Here is a 22,985-nt window from a genome sequence, read left to right on the forward strand (position 1 = left end):
CTAACACGGTGAAACCCCGTCTCTACTAAAAATACAAAAAATTAGCCGAGCATGGTGGCGGGCGCCTGTAGTCCCAGCTACTGGGGAGGCTGAGGCAGGAGAATGGCGTGAACCCAGGAGGCGGAGCTTGCAGTGAGCCGAGATCACGCCACTGCACTCCAGCCTGGGCGACAGAGCAAGACTCCATCTCAAAAACAAACAAACAAACAAAAAAACTATAAAACTCTTCATTGTGGTCAGACATACCAGATAATTTATCAATCCATTTCTTTCCTGAAAACAACCGTTCTGGAATCTTCTGTCCTGGTTTGCTTTCTCTAGGGCTGTTGCCCACTCACCAGTTTGGGACCATCATCCTGGGGATTTGCTTCACTTCTTTCTCATCTGTGTTGACATGGATTTCATGTCTTCCTCCTCTTTAGTATACCCCTTTGCTTTGGTGGAGTAAAACCCCAATAGCTTTCTGAGAATGTATACATGAAAGGGAAATACTTTAAAGCTTTGCATGTCTGAAAATTGCTTTTTAAAAATTCTTTTACTTGTTAGTTTGGCTGGGTTTACAATTCTATAGAAATGTTTTCTTCATTATTTTGAAGGCCTTGCTCCATTGTCTTCTGTTTCCAGTATTGCTGTTGAGAAGTCTATTATAATTTTGGATTATTTGTTATAGACCTATTTTTTTTTACTTTGGAAACTTTCAGGATCTTTTCATTGTCCCCAGGTGTTACTTAATTTCACAATGATGGACCTTGGTATGGTTTCCTGTTGTTTTTTTGTTGTTGTTGTTATTATTGTTGTTTTTATAGAGACAGGGTCTTGCTCTGTTACCCAGGCTGGAGTGCAGTGGTGCCATCACAGCTCACTGCAGCCTCAACTTCCTGGGCTCAGGTGGTCCTCCTGCCTCAGCATCCCAAGTTGCTGGGACTACAGGCATGTGCCACCATGCCTGGCTAATTTTTTATTTTTTGTAGAGATGGGGTCTCACTATGTTGCTGAGGCTGGTCTCAAATTCCTGGTCTGTAGTGATCCTCCCAGCCTCCCAGTCCTAAAGTGCTGGGATTACAGGTATGTACCACCACACCCAGCCTTCTTTTCTCGTTTATTGTGCTTGGTGCTCGACTGGTCCTTTCAATCTAGAAATTTGTACTCCTTTCTGGGCGGTTTTTTTCCTATCATTTCTTTGATAATGCTATCTCTACATTTTCTCTGTTTTCTCTTTCTTGCACTTCTCTTAGTCAGATATTGGACCTCTTAGATTTAGTTTCTGCTTTTCTGATCTCTTTCTTCCTATTTTCTATTTCTTTGTCTTTTTATTCCACTCTGAGAGATTTCCCTTCATTCTTAGTGAATTATTTCATTTGGCTATTAATTTCCAAGGTCTCCTTTTGATCCTGTAATTGTTCCTTCTTATAGCCTTTTATTCTTTTTGTGTGGATGCATAGCCCATCTCTAAGAATAGGAATTAAATTTTATCAAGGTTTTCTTCTTCTCCCTGCCTTGCCTTTGTTTCCTCCAGATTTCCTTTCTCTACTGTGTTTGTTTTGGTCTGTCTTTCAGGTAAGATACTTTCCTACAATTTCTAGTGAGCCATGGCTATCCATTCATATTTAAGAGGGAGGCACTAAAAGCCAATAGCAAGTTGTATGTGCATGGATTTCTCTTAGGCTAGTCAATTTCCAATAAAGAAATCTTTTATTCTTTTGCCTAGAGTTGTATGGGCCTAGTGGTGGTATGCCATCATTCTAGTAACCCAGACAAAATAAGGGAGTTGAAGTCTCTCCAATCATAGACAGACTTTTATTTAATCCCTGTCAGCAGTATGGTACTGCATCCCTGCTATTAGCTGTGTCCAACCTGTTAGGTTCGGCCTCTCCAGAAAGGAAGCCTCTGCTCTACTCTGTGGCTCTGTGGTACATATTGGCATGCTTCTTCTTGATGTTTGTCCTGTAGGAGTTATATTTTAGCTTTTTCCACTCTGGATGTCAGTTACTGCTTATCCAGCTGTTTTCTTCTTCCAAAAGTTTGTTGATATCTCTCAACTGCTTTCCTTGTCTCTTTTCATTCTCGTTGATTTATACCTCCTTTTTTGTTCATTTTCATGTGATTTCAGGAGGGAGTAAGTTAAATATGTAGCTCAATTGTCCATGTTAATAGGACATACAATGCAGCCTCTTTAAGGTCAAATGTATTTTGGCTTTTCCAGGATAAACAAAGGATTACTGGTAAGGCTGAGAAGTGATTCCTCCTTTCTTGTACTCTTGCCTAGAAACATGGGGATATGTGTTCCCCCACTGTATTTCTTTCTTTCTTTCTTTCTCTCTCTCTCTCTCTCTTTCTTTCTTTCTTTCTTTAACCGGAGAGGGGTATATTTATTTTCTCACATTTTAAAAAAAAAAAAAAAGCTGAACATAAGTAGTCTGGGGCACGTACAGCAGCAAAGGCCCAGGATCCTTCCTGCTTTCTGCTTCCTTGGCCTTAGGGTGTGAATCTTTTCCTCATGCTCTCAAGACAGCTGTCTGAGCACCAGCCATCACATCCACATTCCAGGCAGGAAGAAGGCAAAGGTGAAGGGTACTGCACATGTCAGCTGAGCTCCCTTTACAGGTTCTTTCCTGCAAGTCTCTCCCGACATCATCCACTTGCATGCTACAACTGCCCACCCTGGGTTGTGAGGGAGGGTAGGACATGGCTTTTGCCTGCCCGCTTGTCAGAATTGGGCAGAAGCACTGGGATTCTGTTAGTAGGGAGGAAGGAGAATAGATGCTGGGTTAACGATTTGCAGTCCCCGCCACAGCCAGGACTTAGGCAGGGGTGATTCCCACTAAAAGCCAAAGGTTTCATGCCTGGCTGCAGGGGAGAGGTGCTTGGGCTGGGGTCCTGCCTTGTCTTAACAAATACGAGGCTCTTGTTAAATATTTAACCCTGTGAGGGTGGCTTGTGGCCCACGTGCACCCGAATCAGCTGCCTGGCATGCCTCAGCCCACTCCAGGGCTTCCAATTCACCCTGGGGCAGGGGAGGCCTGGGGCACGCGGTTTTCACACACACACTCCTAGCTGATTTCTTTTTCTTCTGTAATTTATAAAATTAACACTGCACTTATTGGAAGACATGAAAATCCAAAGATGGGTAGAGAAAAAGTTCACCTCCCTGTGCCTTGCCCCTGACTAACCCACGTTAACAGTCTTACCTGCTCCCAGGGGATTCTGGGATCATGGAAGGTCCTTGAGAAACTCTCTAGTCCTAGACAAGTGCTGGGGGGTGGGAGGATAGGCTGGGGAGAGAAGGGGGCTCCTCAGCAGGCCGAGCCTTGGTTGCTCAACCCTGCTGGTACTGACTACACATGGAGCGAGGAATGTGCTGAGGGCTCAGCCACGTGGGTGGTCCTTGTGGCCTCTGCCACTGCCCTGGGTAGTCGTCACTCAGCCACGTCAACAAGCGACATTGGGGAGGCAGGCCTGGGCCGCCTGAACCGTCACCTCAGTCCTGGTTGACACCTCAGGCCTGGTCATTATCTGAACTTTGGCTGCAGGGCTTCTGGGCAGAAAGGGCAGATCCAACTGGCTCGTCCTAGCCATGTGCTCCCGGAGCAGCCTGCCCAGGGATCTGGAGAGCAGCAGCCAGATCCTAACCTACTCTGCACCAACAGGCAGGAAAGGGCACCTTGAGTCTGCCACTGTAGGGTTTCAGAAGCAGGCTGACCTGAGGCTTTCCAAATTTCACGAGGGCTCCTTCTAAGGCCTGGGCTGTGTCCAGATGTTGGACCACATGCAAAGAATGGAGGCCGAGTCCAGAAAGAGGAGGGCCCTCCCCCATGGGAATGTGCACGTTGGAAGGGCTCCCCATTTGCCCCTAGATCCTAGGCTGGATGTGGGCTCAGGAGGCTAACCCCTATGGACCAGCCCACCCGTTCAGCCAATGGGCAGCCACAGCAAGGGCAGAGGGAGCAGCAGAGGCAGCCCACGTGGTCACAGGTCCCGTGGGCTCCAGAGCTCTCAGCTCCAGGCACCCCTGCCTGCCCCGCTTCGAGCCTATTGGGGGCAGACTTCCTGCTGTGTCTGGTCACTAACCTCTGCCCACACCACTAAAGGACTGTAGCTGAATTCTCCTTAGTTAAATCCTCTGCTAACACAAAAGGAAAAAGCCAAATCTCATCTCACAAGAGCTTTATTTGAGGTGCAGCATGCATGGGGCCTTGCCCCAAATGCCATGGGCATCACATTCAGGAAGAGGCAGACATCCCCACAACAGTCACATGCTGAAGCTTCCGTCTGCAATGTCTGGTGGCAGAGTTCTCACTCAGCAGACCTGTATCATTATATACATCACCATGTTATCAAAGTCCCTGGACTGGATATTGTCCCCGGGTTACAGAAGGGGTTGCACATCACATCTATGTAGGAGTTGTGCAGCTTCCAGAACATCCTGTGAATTTCATTGTCTCGAAGAGCTGTGTTGGAGGAATTCACCACCATGACAAACTTCACCTTGGAGATGGTAGTGTAGCCCTGTCTGCATAGCTGGTTAGGGAATGCACTTGTAAGACAAGGACTGCTGGGACAGCAGGTAAAGAACCTGCCAGCTGAGGGCCCTCTGTGTGCCCTCAGTTTGGAGAAGCCTGGCAACCTTGAATCACAGGAAGTGCCCAGGCTGGGCTGGTCCTGCAGTGACCATACTGGGTGCATGCCTACATACTTCACTGGGATGACTGGTGTTTACTGGAGAAGCAAAGGGCAGGCAGCTAAGCTTTACCCAATTCTGGCTCCGGAAGCTGAGCCATTCAGACTCTGAGTCTCTGTGTGCACCTGGGATGCCTCACCCTCTTTGTGAATCAATGCCTGGTCCAGAAAGTTAACTGCAAAACCAGAGACTTCATGAATAAGGCGGACCTCCTCTGTAGAGGCCATGTTTTGTAAAATAGTGGCTACTGGTAAATGTCACCATGGACAAGCTACATTACTGCTCTTGGAACGTCTTTGAACTCCATGGTCTCAAGTGATTTGTCCAAAGGGACTGGTCGAGAGTCTCTAGTGACTTATGAGGCAAGACCTTGTAGTCCTCTGTGGGGTAGAGCAGGTCCAGATAGACCTCTCTCTGGTTGACCAAGGCCTTCCCCATTGAGGAGATCTTCTCATCCACCACATCCAGAGATGTGTGCACCATGTACTGGAAACTCAGCTCTTTCTCCGTGGGGGTGCTGCGGATGTAGAGAGGGTAATTCTCCTTGGTGATCACCGGGATGCATATCACCATCTTGGGAGGACCAGTGCTGGGTGCCCCGCCCATTGTATTCCTAACTCTACAAAGGGGTGCTAGTAAGGAGCTATAGCTATAGTAAGAGATCTAGTCTTTTTCCCCATGGCATCTAGTCCTTTTCCCCATGGTATCAAATATGCTTGATTAACTTAAGAAGAAATAAATTTTTTTTGAGACAGAGTCTTGCTCTGTCACCCAGGCTGGAGTGTAGTGGCGCAATCTCTGCACACTGCAACCTCCACCTCTTGAGTTCAAGCAATTCTCCTGCCTCAGCCTCCTGAGTAGCTGGGATTACAGGCCTGTGCCACCATGCCTGGCTAATTTTTGTATTTTTAGTAGAGACAGGGTTTCACCATGTTGGCCAGGCTGGTCTTGAACTCCTGACCTTAGGTTATCTGCCCGCCTCGGCCTCCCAAAGTGCTGGCATTACAGGCATGAGCCACTGCACAAGGCCTGAAATAAATTCTTAATATAATCAATATGTTTTAATCACATGTGAATCACCATCTTTTTTTTTCTCTAAGAAATAAAAGCAGTTTTTAATTCAATTATTTATTTATCTAGAGACAAAGTCTCACTCTCTCGCCCAGGCTGGAGTGCAGTGGCATGATCATAGCTCACTACAGCCTTGACTTCCTGGGTTCAAGGGATCCTCCCACCTCAGCCTCCTGAGTAGCATGGTATTTTTCCTATCACCTGTAAAGAATTGCCAAAGAAAAATAGGGGGAGGGATAGGTTCTGATTAATGAAGATTACCATGAGTTGTAGTAAACCAGGACTCAAATTTTTGAATAATTCCCCCTTGTGGAGTTGGTAAGACAATTAGGGACTAAATGTGGTGTATATAATGAATAGAAACTATTTTTCTTTTTTTTTTTAATTATACTGTAAGTTTTAGGGTACAGGTGCACAACATGCAGCTTTGTTACATATGTATACATGTGCCATGTTGGTGTGCTGCACCCATTAACTCGTCATTTAACATTAGGTATATCTCCTAATGCTATCCCTCCCCCGTCCCCTGACCCCACAACAGGCCCCGGTGTGTGATGTTCCCCTTCCTGTGTCCATGTGTTCTCATTGTTCAATTCCCACCTATGAGTGAGAATATGCAGTGTTTGGTTTTTTGTCCTTGCAATAGTTTGCTGAGAATGATGGTTTCCAGCTTCATCCATGTCCCTACAAAGGACATGAACTCATCATTTTTTATGGCTACATAGTCCATGCTGTATATGTGCCACATTTTCTTAATCCAGTCTATCATTGTTGGACATTTGGGTTGGTTCCAAGTCTTTGCTATTGTGAACAGTGCTGCAATAGACATACGTGTTCATGTGTCTTTATAGCAACATAATTTATAATCCTTTGGGTATATACCCAGTAATGGGATGGCTGGGTCAAATGGTATTTCTAGTTCTAGATCCCTGAGGAATCGCCACACTGACTTCCACAATGGTTGAACTAGTTTCCAGTCCCACCAACAGTGTAAAAGTGTCCCTATTTCTCCACATCCTCTCCAGTACCTATTGTTTCCTGACTTTAATGATCACCATTCTAACTGGTGTGAGATGGTATCTCATTGTGGTTTTGATTTGCATTTCTCTGATGGCCAGTGATGATGAGCATTTTCTCATGTGTCTTGTGGCTGCATAAATGTCTTCTTTTGAGAAATGTCTGTTCATATCCTTTGACCACTTGTTGATGGGGTTGTTTGTTTTTTTCTTGTAAATTTGTTTGAGTTCATTGTAGATTCTGGATATTAGCCCTTTGTCAGATGAGTAGGTTGCGAAAATTTTCTGCCATTCTGTAGGTTGCCTCTTCACTCTGATGGTAATTTCTTTTGCTGTGCAGAAGCTCCTTAGTTTAATTAGATCCCATTTGTCAATTTTGTCTTTTGTTGCCATTGCTTTTCGTGTTTTAGACATGAAGTCTTTGCCCATGCCTGTGTCCTGAATGGTATTGCCTAGGTTTTCTTCTAGGGTTTTTATGGTTTTAGGTCTAACATGTAAGTCTTTAATCCATCTTGAATTAATTTTTGTATAAGGTGTAAGGAAGGGATCCAGTTTCAGCTTTCTACATATGGCTAGCCAGTTTTCCCAGCACCATTTATTAAATAGGGAATCCTTTCCCCATTGCTTGTTTTTGTCAGGTTTGTCAAAGATCAGATAGTTGTAGATATGCGGCATTATTTCTGAGGGCTCTGTTCTGTTCCATTGATCTATATCTCTGTTTTGGTACCAGTACCATGCTGTTTTGGTTGCTGTAGCCTTGTAGTATAGTTTGAAATCAGGTAGCATGATACCTCCAACTTTGTTCTTTTGGCTGAGGATTGACTTGGCAATGCAGGCTCTTTTTTTGTTTCCATATGAACTTTAAAGTAGTTTTTTCCAATTCTATGAAGAAAGTCATTGGTAGCTTGATGGGGATGGCATTGAATCTATAAATAACCTTGGGCAGTATGGCCATTTTCACAATATTGATTCTTCCTACCCATGAGCATGGAATGTTCTTCCATTTGTTTGTATCCCCTTTTATTTCGTTGAGCAGTGGTTTGTAGTTCTCCTTGAAGAGGTCCTTCACATCCCTTGTAAGTTGGATTCCTAGGTATTTTATTCTCTTTGAAGCCATTGTGAATGGGAGTTCACTCATGATTTGGCTCTCTGTTTGTCTGTTATTGGTGTATAAGAATGCTTGTGATTTTTGCACATTGATTTTGTATCCTGAGACTTTGCTGAAGTTGCTTATCAGCTTAAGGAGATTATGTGCTGAGACGATGGAGTTTTCTAGATATACAATCATGTCATCTGCAAACAGGGACAATTTGACTTTCTCTTTTCCTAATTGAATACTCTTCATTTCCTTCTCCTGTCTGATTTCCCTGGCCAGAACTTCCAACACTATGTTGAATAGGAGTGGTGAGAGAGGGCATCCCTGTCTTGTGCCAGTTTTCAAAGGGAATGCTTCCAGTTTTTGCCCATTCAGTATGATATTGGCTGTGGGTTTGTCATAGATAGTTCTTATTATTTTGAGATACGTCCCATCAATACCTAATTTAATGAGAGTTTTTAGCATGAAGGGTTATTGAATTTTGTCAAAGGCCTTTTCTGCATCTACTGAGATAATCATGTGGTTTTTGTCATTGGTTCTGTTTATATGCTGGATTACGTTTATTGATTTTCGTATGTTGAACCAGCCTTGCATCCCAGGGATGAAGCCCACTTGATCATGGCGGATAAGCTTTTTGATGTGCTGCTGGATTCGGTTTGCCAGTATTTTATTGAGGATTTTTGCATCGATGTTCATCAGGGATATTGGTCTAAAATTCTCTTTTTTTGTTGTGTCTCTGTCAGGCTTTGGTATCAGGATGATGCTGGCCTCATAAAATGAGATAGGGAGGATTCCCTCTTTTTCTATTGATTGGAATAGTTTCAGAAGCAGCGGTACCAGCTCCTCCTTCTACCTCTGGTAGAATTCGGCTGTGAATCCATCTGGTCCTGGACTTTTTTTGGTTGGTAAGCTATTAATTATTGTCACAATTTCAGATCCTGTTACTGGTCTATTCAGAGATTCAACTTCTTCCTGGTTTAGTCTTGGGAGGGTGTATGTGTCGAGGAGTTTATCCATTTCTTCTAGATTTTCTAGTTTATTTGCATAGAGGTGTTTATAGTATTCTCTGATGGTAGTTTGTATTTCTGTGGGATCGGCGGTGATATCTCCTTTATCATTTTTTATTGCGTCCAGTCTATTTGATTCTTCTCTCTTTTCTTCTTTATTAGTCTTGCTAGCGGTCTATGAATTTTGTTGATCTTTTCAAAAAACCAGCTCCTGGATTCATTGATTTTTTTGAAGGGTTTTTTGTGTCTCTATTTCCTTCATTTCTGCTCTGATCTTAGTTATTTCTTACCTTCTGCTAGCTTTTGAATGTGTTTGCTCTTGCTTCTCTAGTTCTTTTAATTTTGATGTTGGGGTGCCAATTTTAGATCTTTCCTGCTTTCTCTTGTGGGCATTTAGTGCTATAAATTTCCCTCTACACACTGCTTTGAATGTGTCCCAGAAATTCTGGTATGTTGTGTCTTTGTTCTCATTGGTTTCAAAGAACATCTTTATTTCTGCCTTCATTTTGTTATGTACCCAGTAGTCAGTCATTCAGGAGCAGGTTGTTCAGTTTCCATGTAGTTGAGCAGTTTTGAGTTTCTTAATCCTGAGTTCTAATTTGATTGCACTGTGGTCTGAGAGACAGTTTGTTATAATTTCTGTTCTTTTACATTTGCTGAGGAGTGCTTTACTTCCAACTATGTGGTCAGTTTTGGAATAGGTGTGGTGTGGTGCTGAAAAGAATGTATATTCTGTTGATTTGGGATGGAGAGTTCTGTAGATGTCTATTAGGTCCGCTTGGTGCAGAGCTGAGTTCAATTCCTGGATATCCTTGTTAATTTTCTGTCTCATTGATCTGTCTAATGTTGACAGTGAGGTGTTAAAGTCTCCCATTATTATTGTGTGGGAGTCTAAGTCTCTTTGTAGGTCTCTAAGGACTTACTTTATGAATCTGGGTGCTCCTGTATTGGGTGCATATATATTTAGGATAGTTAGCTCTTCTTGTTGAATTGATCCCTTTACCATTATTTAATGGCCTTCCTTGTCTCTTTTGATCTTTGTTGGTTTAAAGTCTGTTTTATCCAAGACTAGGATTCCAACCCTTGCCTTTTTTTGTTTTCCATTTGCTTGGTAGATCTTCCTCCATCCCTTTATTTTGAGCCTATGTGTGTCTCTGCACGTGAGATGGGTTTCCTGAGTACAGCACACTGATGGGTCTTGACTCTTTATCCAGTTTGCCAGTCTGTGTCTTTTAATTGGAGCATTTAGCCCGTTAACATTTAAGGTTAATATTGTTATGTGTGAATTTGATCCTGTCATTATGATGTTAGCTGGTTATTTTGCTCGTTAGTTGATGCAGTTTCTTCCTAGCCTCGATGGTCTTTACAATTTGGTATGTTTTTGCAGTGGCTGGTCCCAGTTGTTCCTTTCCATGTTTAGTGCTTCCTTCAGGAGCTCTTTTAGGGCAGGCCTGGTGGTGACAAAATCTCTCAGCATTTGCTTGTCTGCGAAGGATTTTATTTCTTCTTCACTTATGAAGCTTAGTTTGACTGGATATGAAATTCTGGGTTGAAAATTCTTTTCTTTAAGAATGTTGAATATTGGCCCCCACTCTCTTCTGGCTTGTAGAATTTCTGCCAAGAGATCAGCTGTTAGTCTGATGGGCTTCCCTTTGTGGGTAACCCGACCTTTCTCTCTGGCTGCCCTTAACATTTTTTCCTTCATTTCAACTTTGGTGAATCTGACCATTATTTGTCTTGGAGTTGCTTTTCTCGAGGAGTATCTTTGTGGCGTTCTCTGTATTTCCTGAATCTGAATGCTGGCCTGCCTTGCTAGATTGGGGAAGTTCTCCTGGATAATATCCTACAGAGTGTTTTCCAACTTGGTTCCATTCTCCCCGTCACTTTCAGGTACACCAATCAGACATAGATTTGGTCTTTTCACATAGTCCCATATTTCTTGGAGGCTTTGTTCATTTCTTTTTATTCTTTTTTCTCTATACTTATCTTCTCGCTTCATTTCATTCATTTGATCTTCCATCACTCATACCTTTTCTTCAAGTTGATCACGTCGGCTACTGAGGCTTGTGCATTCGTCACGTAGTTCTCGTGCTGTGGTTTTCAGCTCCATCAGGTCCTTGAAGGACTTCTCTGCATTGGTTATTCTAGTTAGCCATTTGTCTAATCTTTTTTCAAGGTTTTTAACTTCTTTGTCATGGGTTCGAACTTCCTCCTTTAGCTCGGAGTAGTTTGATCGTCTGAAGCCTTCTCTCATCTTGTCAAAGTCATTCTCCGTCCAGCTTTGCTCCATTGCTGGTGAGGAGCTGCGTTCCTTTGGAGGAGGAGAGCTGCTCTGATTGTTAGAATTTTCAGTTTTTCTGCTCTGTTTTTTCCCCACCTTTGTGGTTTTTATCTACCTTTGGTCTTTGATGATGGTGACCTACAGATGGGGTTTTGGTGTGGATGTCTTTTCTGTTTGTTAGTTTTCCTTGTAACAGTCAAGACCCTTAGCTGCAGGTATGTTGGAGTTTGCTGGAGGTCCACTCCAGACCCTGTTTGCCTGGGTATCAGCAGCGGAGGCTGCAGATCAGGGGATATTGGTGGACACCAAATGTCGCTGCCTGATCGTTCCTCTGGAAATTTTGTCTCAGAGGAGCACCCGGCCGTGTGAGGTGTCAGTCTGCCCCTCCTGGGGGGTGCCTCCCAGTTAGGCTACTCAGGGGTCAGGGACCCACTTGAGGAGGCAGTCTTTTCGTTCTCAGATCTTCAGCTGTGTGCTGGGAGAACCACTAGTCTCTTCAAAGTTGTCAGACAGGGACATTTAAGTCTGCAGGGGTTTCTGCTGCCTTTTGTTTGGCTATGCCCTGCCCCCAGAGGTGGAGTCTACAGAGGCAGGCAGGTGTCCTTGAGCTGCGGTGGGCTCCACCCAGTTCGAGCTTCCCAGCCTCTTTGTTTACCTACTCAAGCCTAGGCAATGGTGGGCGCCCCTCCCACAGCCTCATTGCTGCCTTGCAGTTTGATCTCAGACTGCTGTGCTAGCAATAAGCGAAGCTCCATGGGTGTAGGACCCTCTGAGCCAGGTGTGGGATACAATCTTCTGGTGTGCCATTTGCTAAGACCTTTGGAAAAGCGCAGTATTAGGGTCGGAGTGACCCGATTTTCCAGGTGCCGTCTGTCACCCCTTTCCTTGGCTAGGAAGGGGAATTCTGTGACCCCTTCCGCTTCCTGGGTGAGGCGATGCCTCGCCCTGCTTCGGCTCACGCTTGGTGCGCTGCACACACTGTCCTGCACCCACTCTCTGACAATCCCCAGTGAGACGAACCTGGTACCTCAGTTGGAAATGCAGAAATCATTTGTCTTCTGCATTGCTCACGCTGGGAGCTGTAGACTGGAGCTGTTCCTATTCAGCCATCTTGGCTCCACCCCCTAGAAACTATTTTTCATCTATCAGATTGGTAACAGTTTTTAGGTGTAGCAATATCAAATGTTGACAAGGGTGCAAGCAAAGTACTCTCATACATAGCTGGTAAGAGTGGAATAGCCCCTTTGGATGACAATTTGGCAGTATCTATAAAAAAAGAAAATGTATATCCTCATGACTCTGTAATTCCCACTTCTTTCTACCCTAGTAAAACCTTGCACATGTGCACAGAAATCATGTAGCAGAATATTTCATTATGGAAAAAAAATGAGGCAGATCTGTATATGCTGATATAAATAAATCTCCATGACTAATTAAGTTAAAAATGGCAAGTTACAGAATAACATATATATATATAAAATTCTATGTTTAACACATTTTATTTGGTATAAACACACACGTGTGTGTGTGTATATACTATATACTTACATCAATTATATATTCTAGTAATGGATATTATGTGATATGTAATATATAATACATTTGTTTAATATATAATCATGCACCAAATAATGACATTTCAGTCAGTGACAGACCATGGATACAATGATAGTCCCATAAGATTGTAATACTGTATTTTTACTGTACCATTATGTTTAGATACAAAATACCATTATGTTATAATTGCCCACAGTATTCAGTACAGTCATATGATGTACAGTCACATGATATACAGTTTTATAGCCTAGGAGCAATAGGCTATACCATATAGCCTGGGTGTATAGTAGGCTATACTATATAGATTTGTATAAGTGCACACTATCATGTTCACACAATGATGAAATTGCTTAACAATGCGTTTCTCAGAATGTATTCCTGTTATTAAGTGACATATGACTGTAAATGTCTAGATATGTAATATTTGACTATGTAAATGTCTGCAAAAAATGGAAGGTATGCATCAAGCTGATAACAGTGCTTACTTCTGGAGGGGGACTGGAATTTTGGCAGGGTTGAGGCAGTCAAGGAGACTTGACCTTTACAAGTATTATCTATTTTTTTATATAAATATATTTATATGTTACTTCTATAAGTAAAAATATAGAATATATTTTTCTATAAGTATAGATAAATATAGAATATATGTAATATAGAATATATGATATACTATATATAGAATATATGTAATATAGAATATATCATATATATTCTGTATGTATAGAATATAGAATAAATGTAGAATATATCAAATAAAGAATATATGAATATACACATACATACATACACACCCATGTTATTAGTGGTTTTAAATATGCAGGGTAGTTTGGGCGTGGTGGCTCATGCCTATAATCCCAATACTTTGGGAGGCCAAGGGAGGTGGATCACTTAAGCTCAGGAGTTCGAGACCAGCCTGGCCAACATGGTGAAACCCTGTCTCTACTAAAAATACAAAAATTAGCCAAGTGTGGTGGCAGGTGCCTGTAATCTCAGCTACTTGGGAGACTGGGGCACAAGAATCTTTTGAACCTGGGAGACAGAGGTTGCAGTAAGCCGAGATCACACCACTGCACTCCAGCCTATGTGACAGAGCAAGACTCTGTCTCAAAAAAAAAAAAAAAAAAGCAAGGTAACTATAAAGATTGATTTTCATTGGTTATACTGAAGTGACTGAGTACATTGCTTGGAAAACAGCTCTAGGCTATTTAGAAAGCTTCTCTGATATAGCCCCACCTAATCTGCCTCTGCTTATTCGTGTCAGTCTAATACTGGTCTAGGGCGTGCATATAATCTTCTTGGCTGCCAACTACTCATCCAGTCAGTTTTCGCCAATCTTTTTTGGTTATGAGAATAGGATGGAATTTGGGTTTTCCACTGTCAAACTTCAGTTTCTAGACTTCGTTTTCTTTTTTTTTTTTTCCATTTAACCCTGAGTGGACACAGCACATGTTTCAGAGAGCACAGGGTTGGGGGTAAGGTCACAGATCAACAGGATAAGAATTTTTCTTAGTACAGAACAAAATGAAAAGTCTCCCATGTCTACCTCTTTCTACACAGACACGGCAACCATCCGATTTCTCAATCTTTTCCCCACCTTTCCCCCCGCTCTATTCCACAAAACCGCCATTGTCATCATGGCCCGTTCTCAGTGAGCTGTTGGGTATACCTCCCAGACGGGGTGGTGGCCGGGCAGAAGGGCTCCTCACTTCCCAGTAGGGGCGGCCGGGCAGAGGCGCCCCTTACCTCCCGGACGGGGCAGCTGGCCGGGCGGGGGGCTGACCCCCCCACCTCCCTCCCGGATGGGGCGGCTGGCCAGGTGGGGGGCTGACCCCCCTACCTCCCTCCCGGACGGGACGGCTGGCCGGGCGGGGCCTGACCCCCCCACCTCCCTCCCGGACGGGGCGGCTGCTGGGCGGAGACGCTCCTCACTTCCCAGACGGGGTGGCTGCCAGGTGGAGGGGCTCCTCACTTCTCAGATGGGGCGGCTGCCGGGCGGAGGGGCTCCTCACTTCTCAGATGGGGCGGCTGCCGGGTGGAGGGGCTCCTCACTTCTCAGACGGGGCGGTTGCCAGGCGGAGGGTCTCCTCACTTCTCAGACGGGGTGGCCGGGCAGAGACGCTCCTCACCTCCCAGACGGGGTCACGGCCGGGTAGAGGCGCTCCTCACATCCCAGATGGGGCGGCAGGGCAGAGGCGCTCCCCACATCTCAGACGATGGGCGGCCAGGCAGAGACGCTCCTCACTTCCTAGATGGGATGGCGGCCGGGAAGAGGCGCTCCTCACTTCCTAGATGGGATGGCGGCCGGCAGAGACGCTCCTCACTTTCCAGACTGGGCAGCCAGGCAGAGGGGCTCCTCACGTCCCAGACGATGGGCGGCCAGGCAGAGACGCTCCTCACTTCCCAGACGGGGTGGCGGCCGGGCAGAGGCTGCAATCTCGGCACTTTGGGAGGCCAAGGCAGGCGGCTGGGAGGTGGAGGTTGTAGCGAGCCGAGATCACGCCACTGCACTCCAGCCTGGGCACCATTGAGCACTGAGTGAACCAGACTCCGTCTGCAATCCCGGCACCTCGGGAGGCCGAGGCTGGCGGATCACTCACGGTTAGGAGCTGGAGGCCAGCCCAGCCAACACAGCGAAACCCCGTCTCCACCAAAAAAATACGAAAACCAGTCAGGCGTGGTGGCGCGCGCCTGCAATCGCAGGCACTAGGCAGGCTGAGGCAGGAGAATCAGGCAGGGAGGTTGCAGTGAGCCAAGATGGCAGCAGTACAGTCCAGCTTCGGCTCGGCATCAGAGGGAGACCGTGGAAAGAGAGGGAGAGGGAGACCGTGGGGAGAGGGAGACAGAGGGAGAGGGAGAGGGAGAGGGAAAGGGCTAGACTTCGTTTTCCAAATGCATGCAGAACTGCAGTTGTTATTGAGTAGATAAGTTTGAAAGTTCTGAATATAAGAATATTTGTGCAGCTCTTTACAGTTTACAAAATGTCTACCTTTTTATCTTATTTGATCTTCCCAACAACCCTGTGAGGTAGGTGTTATTATTAATTATTGACATAGATAGGGAAACCTTTGGGAGTCCCCAAGAGCTCCCCTAGATCAAATGATTCACTAGGAGGACTCACAGGACTCAGCATATAGTCATACTCACAGTTAAGATTTATGGGGCTGGGTGCCATGGCTCACGCCTATAATCCTAGCACTTTAAGGAGGCCAAGGTGGGAGGATCGCTTGAGCCCAGGAGTTTAAGACCAGCCTGGGCAACATGGCGAAACCCCATCACTACAAAAAAATACAAAAATTAGCCAAGTTGGTGGCAGACTCCTGTAGTCCTTGCTACTCAGGAGGCTAAGGTGGGAGGATCACTTGAGCCCGGGAGATAAAGGCTGCAGTGAACCATGATCATGCCTCTGTACTCCAGCCTAGGTAAGAGTGAGACTCTGTCTCAAAAGAAAGAAAGAGACAGACAGAGAAGGAGGGGGAGAACGGGGAGGGAGGGAAAGGAAAGGAAGAAGGAAGAAGGGAAGGAGGGAGGGAGGGAAAAGAAAAGAAAAAAAGAAAGAAAATAAGCAAATGAAGAGCCAGATGTGGTGGCACACACCTGTAATCCTAGCACTTTGGGAGGCAGAGGCAGGAGGATCACTTGAGCCCAGGAGTTCAAGACCAACCTGGGCAACATATATATATACATGTGTGTGTATGTATATATATATATATATATATATATATATATACGTATATATATACATATATACGTGTATATATATACGTATATATATACATATATACGTGTATATATATACGTATATATATACATATATACGTGTATATATATACGTATATATATACATATATACGTGTATATATATACGTATATATATACACATATACGTGTATATATATACGTATATATATACATATATACGTGTATATATATATATACGTATATATACACATATATATACATATATACACATATACGTATATATATATACACACACATGTACACACACACACACACACATACACACACACACACACACACAAACTCTTTTCTGAACAGAAACCAAAACTAAAAGATGAAGTGACTTTCCTTAAAGATACTTATATAGTAAGCGTGGCAGTCAAGATTAAAACCCAGACCCTCAGATTCCAAACATTTCCTACTACATAATTTTAATCTCCATCAAATCAAGAGTAAATGTTTTCAGCGTGCAGTTGAAGTGGTAAAAATTAATGCATAGTTCCTTGAGACATGGAATGCTGAAGTGATTTTTCTTCCTGTGCCATATAATGTCTTCTTTCTCTTTGACCTATAACCTTTCTAGGATAACATAAAAGAGCTAGAATTAGAAGTCATCAATCTGCAAAAGGAAAAGGAAGAATTGGTTCTTGAACTTCAGACAGCAAAGAAGGATGCCAACCAAGCCAAGTAAGAATAAAGTTAATAAATGTTATTTCAAGTCCCTACTATGTGTGAGGAGCTTTGCAAGAAATAGAGAAGTAGAAGTCCCATTTACTGCCCCTAAAGATTTAAACCTAATTATGAAGAGGAAACCTAAACACAAAAAATGGTTAAATAATTGCAATTTTAAATAGCGTCTCAAGTTGACAGTAAAAGAATGTCATAACACAGCACATGATTAGTAGCCAAATAAATTTCTTAGGCAGTAATTGTGTTAAGAGTTCAGAGGCGAGGAATATCAATTCAGGCTACCATGATCAAGGAAGGCTTTGTAAAAAGTTAGCATTTGAGCTGGCTTTTGAAAGATTATCACACTTACTAGATAACAGCAGTTTCTTTGTCCCTGCACTAATGGTAAATTAGCTTGTGAATGGAATTAATGTCCAGGCTAGTGATTTAAAAAATCAATCTAGCCATCTCTTACCAGTTAAGAATAAAACCAAAGCAGATAACCATAACATCCTACTCTCCTTCAGACCTCTGCCGTATGGGCTATCCTACCTTCTTTTTACTCAGTGACTCCGTTTTATCTCTCAGTTGAGTCTAAAGCTCATGTTTGTAAAAGTTATGCTGAATGTTTACTTTCTATCTCAGACTTGTATAATAATCATCAGAATTATTCTTCATAGCTAAAGTGAAGTGAAATGCCTTCAAAGAACCATTTTGATGCAAAAGGGGCGGCGTATATTGAGGCAGTTGCATTGCTGTGTACTAAAAGTTGTCTTACTCTTTGTATTAAGCTCCTATTATTGAGACAGGTTTGGTTGTTTGGGTGGTATTCTTTTTTTAAGATGGCTATGTGACTAGTCACCTATTTTATATATGTCAGTGTTGTAACTCTGGGAGTCTAGTATTATGTCTTTTGAAGTCAGGCTTTGCTGCTGGTAGTCCTCACTTCTACAGCATCTGTGTTTAGGTTGAGTGAGCGCCGCCGCAAACGTCTCCAGGAGCTGGAGGGTCAAATTGCTGATCTGAAGAAGAAACTGAATGAGCAGTCCAAACTTCTGAAACTAAAGGAATCCACAGAGCGTACTGTCTCCAAACTGAACCAGGAGATACGGGTAATAAATTCTCATCCTTGCATTTACCCCCATTGGAATTTACAAACATAGGTATTCCATTTAGAAATATACTAGAGGTGTTTTCAGGTGAGAAAATAGCAGGCAGAGCAATCATTTCAAGTGTGTGAATCTCCACAAATGTCCCTTTTGCAGAACATTGTGCTAGTGGTCATCTAGGATCTGCTTAATAAAACGTTGCTTTGACATTCAAAATTTAATGTTAGAGTCTCTGAAACCAAAGAACAAAGACATCTCCATACTTAGTGGGTTATATCCTGATCACCTTCCATGATCATGCAGCATAATTTTGTAAAGTAGTAATAAGATGACAGACACCTAGAGAAAATTCTCAGTTATTGAATGTTCAACTTGTGGCACCAACAAAGTGGTGGTTACAGGCTACTTGTACTGAAACCTTTAGAATACAATGGTTACTAGGTGGATTTGTCCTGGAGGCTTAGTAGATGTTTCCTTGAAATTTCATTTGTATACAGTGAATTTAGGGCTGGATTTAGCTTGTAGGTACATTTTTATTTAATTTCTTCTCAGTGTTCACTTGTATAGCCTGTACTTGGAAACCCTGTGCAAGCATAGCAAGGGGTATTGTAAGCCTAATCAGGGAATCTGTTGGGGACTGCTTTCCCAGCCTAGTTCTGGCTTTTCTCTCTTCTTAATGGTAAGTCTATCCATCCGCACCAGCCTAGAATAAACTGCAGATGACTAATACTTTTGCTGGTTTTTGTTTTTATAGATGATGAAAAACCAGCGGGTACAGTTAATGCGTCAAATGAAAGAAGATGCTGAGAAGTTTAGACAGTGGAAGCAGAAAAAAGACAAAGAAGTAATACAGTTAAAAGAACGAGTAAGTAACTAAAACTTCTTGAAGGCCTAGGTAATAAACCCTTCTCTGAGCTGACTAACAATTTTAATGCTTCTCTTCAAACACCTCGTGTCTCCAAAAGTGTGACATTCTCATGAATTTAACAACTTTATTAAATGTCTACTATGTCTATTATGTGCAAGGTACTATCTACTAGGCACTATTAGAAATAGAAAAATTAGTAGTATATAAGCTCTGCCCTTGAAGAATGTCTTACCTAAAGGAGATGGTAAGATATAAGCATGGATTTCTCAAATACAAGGAAGAAAGAGATTTGGGCTATAAGAATAAAATAAAAAGTAACTAAGAGAAAAGAAAGCAAATTTGCAGTTGGAGTGAAAAGATGATGGTTGAATAGGCCCTGAATAATAGGAAGGGTTATGATAGAGATAAGTACAAGCATTCCAGATAGATAGATCAAAGAAATAGAGATGACAACTTTGTAGACACATTCAAGGAATGGCAAGTGGTCCAACTGGGGTGAAGTATAGTAGTGGACCATTCCATTGGAAAGGCAAGTCGAAGCTGGATTATTAAAGATCCAAGAAGTTTGAACTCATTTTGTTAGTAGCATAAAGATTTTTAAGGGTTTTTAGAAAGTGATATCAACAAAATACTGCTTTAGAAAGATATATCTGGGAATAATGTATAGAGCAAACTGTAATATTGAGAAACAGAGGCCAGAACACAAGAAGATATTGTATAATCCAGAAGAATTATAAGGGCCTGAATATACATCTGACAACAGAGCCCCCAGAATATATGAAGCAAACACTGACAGAAATGGAGAGAGAAATAGACAAATCAACAGTAATAAATATTTGGAGACTTCAATCCACCTCTTTATTTTCTTTCTTTTTTAGATATGGGGTCTTGTTCTGTTGCCCAGGCTGGAGTACAGTGGTGCAATCATAGCTCACTGTAGCCTCAAACTGCTGGTCTCAAGCAATCCTCCCACCTCAGCCTCCTGAGTAGCTAGAACTACAGCTGTACACCATCACACCTGGCAAATTTTTTATTTTTTGTAGAGATGGAATCTCACTATGTTGCCCAGACTGGTCTCGAACTCCTGGGCTCAAGCAGTCCTCTCACCTCGGCCTGCTAAAGTGCTGGTATTACAGGCATGAGCCACTGAACCCAGCCCCTACTTTAATAATGGATAGAACAATAGGCACAAGATCAGCAAGGATATTGAAGACTTCAACAATATAATACCTAGCATTTTCATATCTACATTCATAAGAGATATTGGTCTATAAGTTTATGTAATATGCTAGATTACACACTATACCTAACAGAATCTATAGACTACGCCAACCAACAACAGCAGGATATACAGTCTTCCTAGGTGCACATGAAACATTCTCCAGGATAGACCATATGCTAGACCTTTTATGCCTCAATAAATTTAAAAGTATTGAAACAGGCCATGCATGGTGGCTCACTCCTGTAATCCCAACACTTTGGGAGGCCAAGGTGGGCAGATCACCTGATGTCAGGAGTTCAAGACCAGTCTGGCCAACATGATGAAACACCGTGTCTATTAAAAATACAAAAATTAGCCGGGCATGGTGGCACATCTGTGATCTCCAGTATTCAGGAGGCTGAGGCAGGAGAATTGCTTGAACTTGGGAGATGGAGGTTGCAGTGAGCTGAGATCGTGCCACTGCACTCCAGCCTGTGCAACAGAGCAAGACTCCGTCTCAAAGAAAAAGTATTGAAAATAATACAAAATCTGTTCTCTAACCACAATGGAATGAAATTAAAAATCAGTAACAAAAATAAATTTAGGAAATTCACAAATATGAAGAAATTAACATAATCCTAAATAAATAATGGGTCTAAAAGGAAGTCATAGGGAAATTAAAAAATACTTTGAGATTAATAAAAACAAAGATACAACATACCAAAACTTATGAGATACAGCTAAAACAGTGTTTGGAGGGAATTTTATAGTTGTAAATGCCTATATTAAAAAATGCAGAAAGGCTCCTGTAGCCCCAGCTACTTGGGAGGCTGAGGTGGAAGGATCACTTGACCCCAGGAGTTCAAGACCAGCCTGGGCAAAATTGTGAGACTGCATCTCAGTTTTTTTTAATTGAAGAAAGATCTTAAACCAATAACCTAGCCTTCTACTTTAAAACACTGAAAAAAAGAGAGCAAACTAAACCCAAAGCTAGTAGATGAAAGGAAACATTAAAAGATTAGAGTAGAAATAGGCTGGGCGCGGTGGCTCAAGCCTGAAATCCCAGCATTTTGGGAGGCCAAGGTGAGCAGATCACCTGAGGTCGGGAGTTCGAGACCAGCCTGAGTAACATGGAGAAACCCTCTCTCTACCAAAAATACAAAATTAGCTGGGCATGGTGGTGCATGCCTGTAGTCCCAGCTACTTGGGAGGCTGAGGCAGGAGAATCGCTTGAACCCGGGAGGTGGAGGTTGCAGTGAGCCGAGATCGCACCATTGCACTCCAGCCTGGGCAACAAAAGCGAAACTGTCTCAAAAAAAAAAAAGGATTAAAGTAGAAATTAATGAAATATGAAATAGAAAAAAACGGGGAAAATCATTGAAACCAAAAGTTGGTTTTTTGAAATGATCAACAAATACTGACAAACCTTCAGATAGCCTTAATAAGAAAAAAAAAGAGGCCAGGCGCGGTGGCTCACACCTGTAGTAATCCCAGCACTTTGGGAGGCTGAGGCAGGCAGATCACAAGGTCAGGAGATCGAGACCATCCTGGCTAACACGGTGAAACCCCATCTCTACTAAAAATACAAACAAAAAAAAATTAGCCAGGTGTAGTGGTGGGTGCCTGTAGTCCCAGCTACTCAGGAGTTTGAGGGAGGAGAATGGTGTGAACCCGGAAGGCGGAGCTTGCAGTGAGCAGAGATCGCACCACTGCACTCCAGCCTGGGCAACAGAGCGAGACTCCATCTCAAAAAAAAAAGAAAAGAAAAAAGAAAAAAAAGAAAGAAAATTTAAATTACTAAAGTTAGGAATGAAAGAGGGAATATCACTACTAGTCTTGCCGGAAGGAAAGGATTATAAGGAATTACTATTAACAACTGTATGCCAACAAATTAGATAGCCTAGATTAAGTAGACAAATGCCTGGAAAGACAAAAACTACCAAAACTGACTCAAGAAGAAATAGAAAATCTGTATAGACCCATGACAAGAAGTTAAATTAGTAGTTTAAAAACTTCCCACAAAGAAAATTCCAGGCACAGATGGCTTCACTGGTGAGTTCTATCAAACATTTTAAGAAAAAATACCCATTTCTTGGCCAGGTGCTGTGGCTCATGCCTGTAATCCCAGCACTTTTGGAGGCCGAGGCAGGCAGATCACCTGAGGTCAGGAATTCGAGACCAGCCTGGCCAACATGGTGAAACCCTGTCTCTACTAAAAGTACAAAAATTATTTGGGTGTGGTGACACACACTTGTAATCCCAGCTACTTGGGAGGCTGAGACACAAGAATTGCTTGAACCCAGGTGGCGAAGGTTGCAGTGAGCCAAGATCACACCGCTGCACTCCAGCCTGGGCGATAGAGTGAGATTCTGTCTCAGAAAAAAAAAAAAAAAAGACAGAAATACCCATTTCTCAGAAACTCTTCTGAAAACTAGAAGCAGTGGAAACACTTCCCAACTCATTCCATGAGGTTTGTGTTCCCTGATACCAAAACCAAAGACATCACAAGAAAAGAATACTACAGACCAATATATCTTAATATAGGCATGAAAATCCTCAACAAAATTCTAGCAAACTAAATCCATCAACATTTAAAAAGGATGATAGGCTGGGCGTGGTGACTCACACCTGTAATCTCAGCACTTTGGAAAGCCGAGATGGGCAGATCACTTGAGGTCAGAAGTTTTGAGACCA

The 22,985-nt window shown here is 42.9% G+C and overlaps 1 protein-coding gene and 1 pseudogene across 1 annotated transcript in view; one reads left to right on the forward strand and one right to left on the reverse strand.

The window, feature by feature from the left end:
• The window catches only part of KIF4A (kinesin family member 4A), a 130,783-nt gene that overhangs the window by 67,020 nt on the left and 40,778 nt on the right, over window positions 1-22,985 (forward strand). Inside the window, exons 16-18 of the mRNA NM_012310.5 lie at window positions 17,028-17,131; window positions 18,081-18,225; window positions 18,977-19,087. Of these exons, the coding sequence (NP_036442.3) occupies window positions 17,028-17,131; window positions 18,081-18,225; window positions 18,977-19,087 (360 nt within the window). The remainder of the gene's footprint in view (window positions 1-17,027; window positions 17,132-18,080; window positions 18,226-18,976; window positions 19,088-22,985) is intronic.
• On the reverse strand, window positions 4,301-5,251 carry TRAPPC2LP1 (TRAPPC2L pseudogene 1; annotated as a pseudogene).

Source organism: Homo sapiens, chromosome X, assembly GCF_000001405.40.
Source record: "Homo sapiens chromosome X, GRCh38.p14 Primary Assembly".
Classification (NCBI taxonomy): domain Eukaryota; kingdom Metazoa; phylum Chordata; class Mammalia; order Primates; family Hominidae; genus Homo; species Homo sapiens.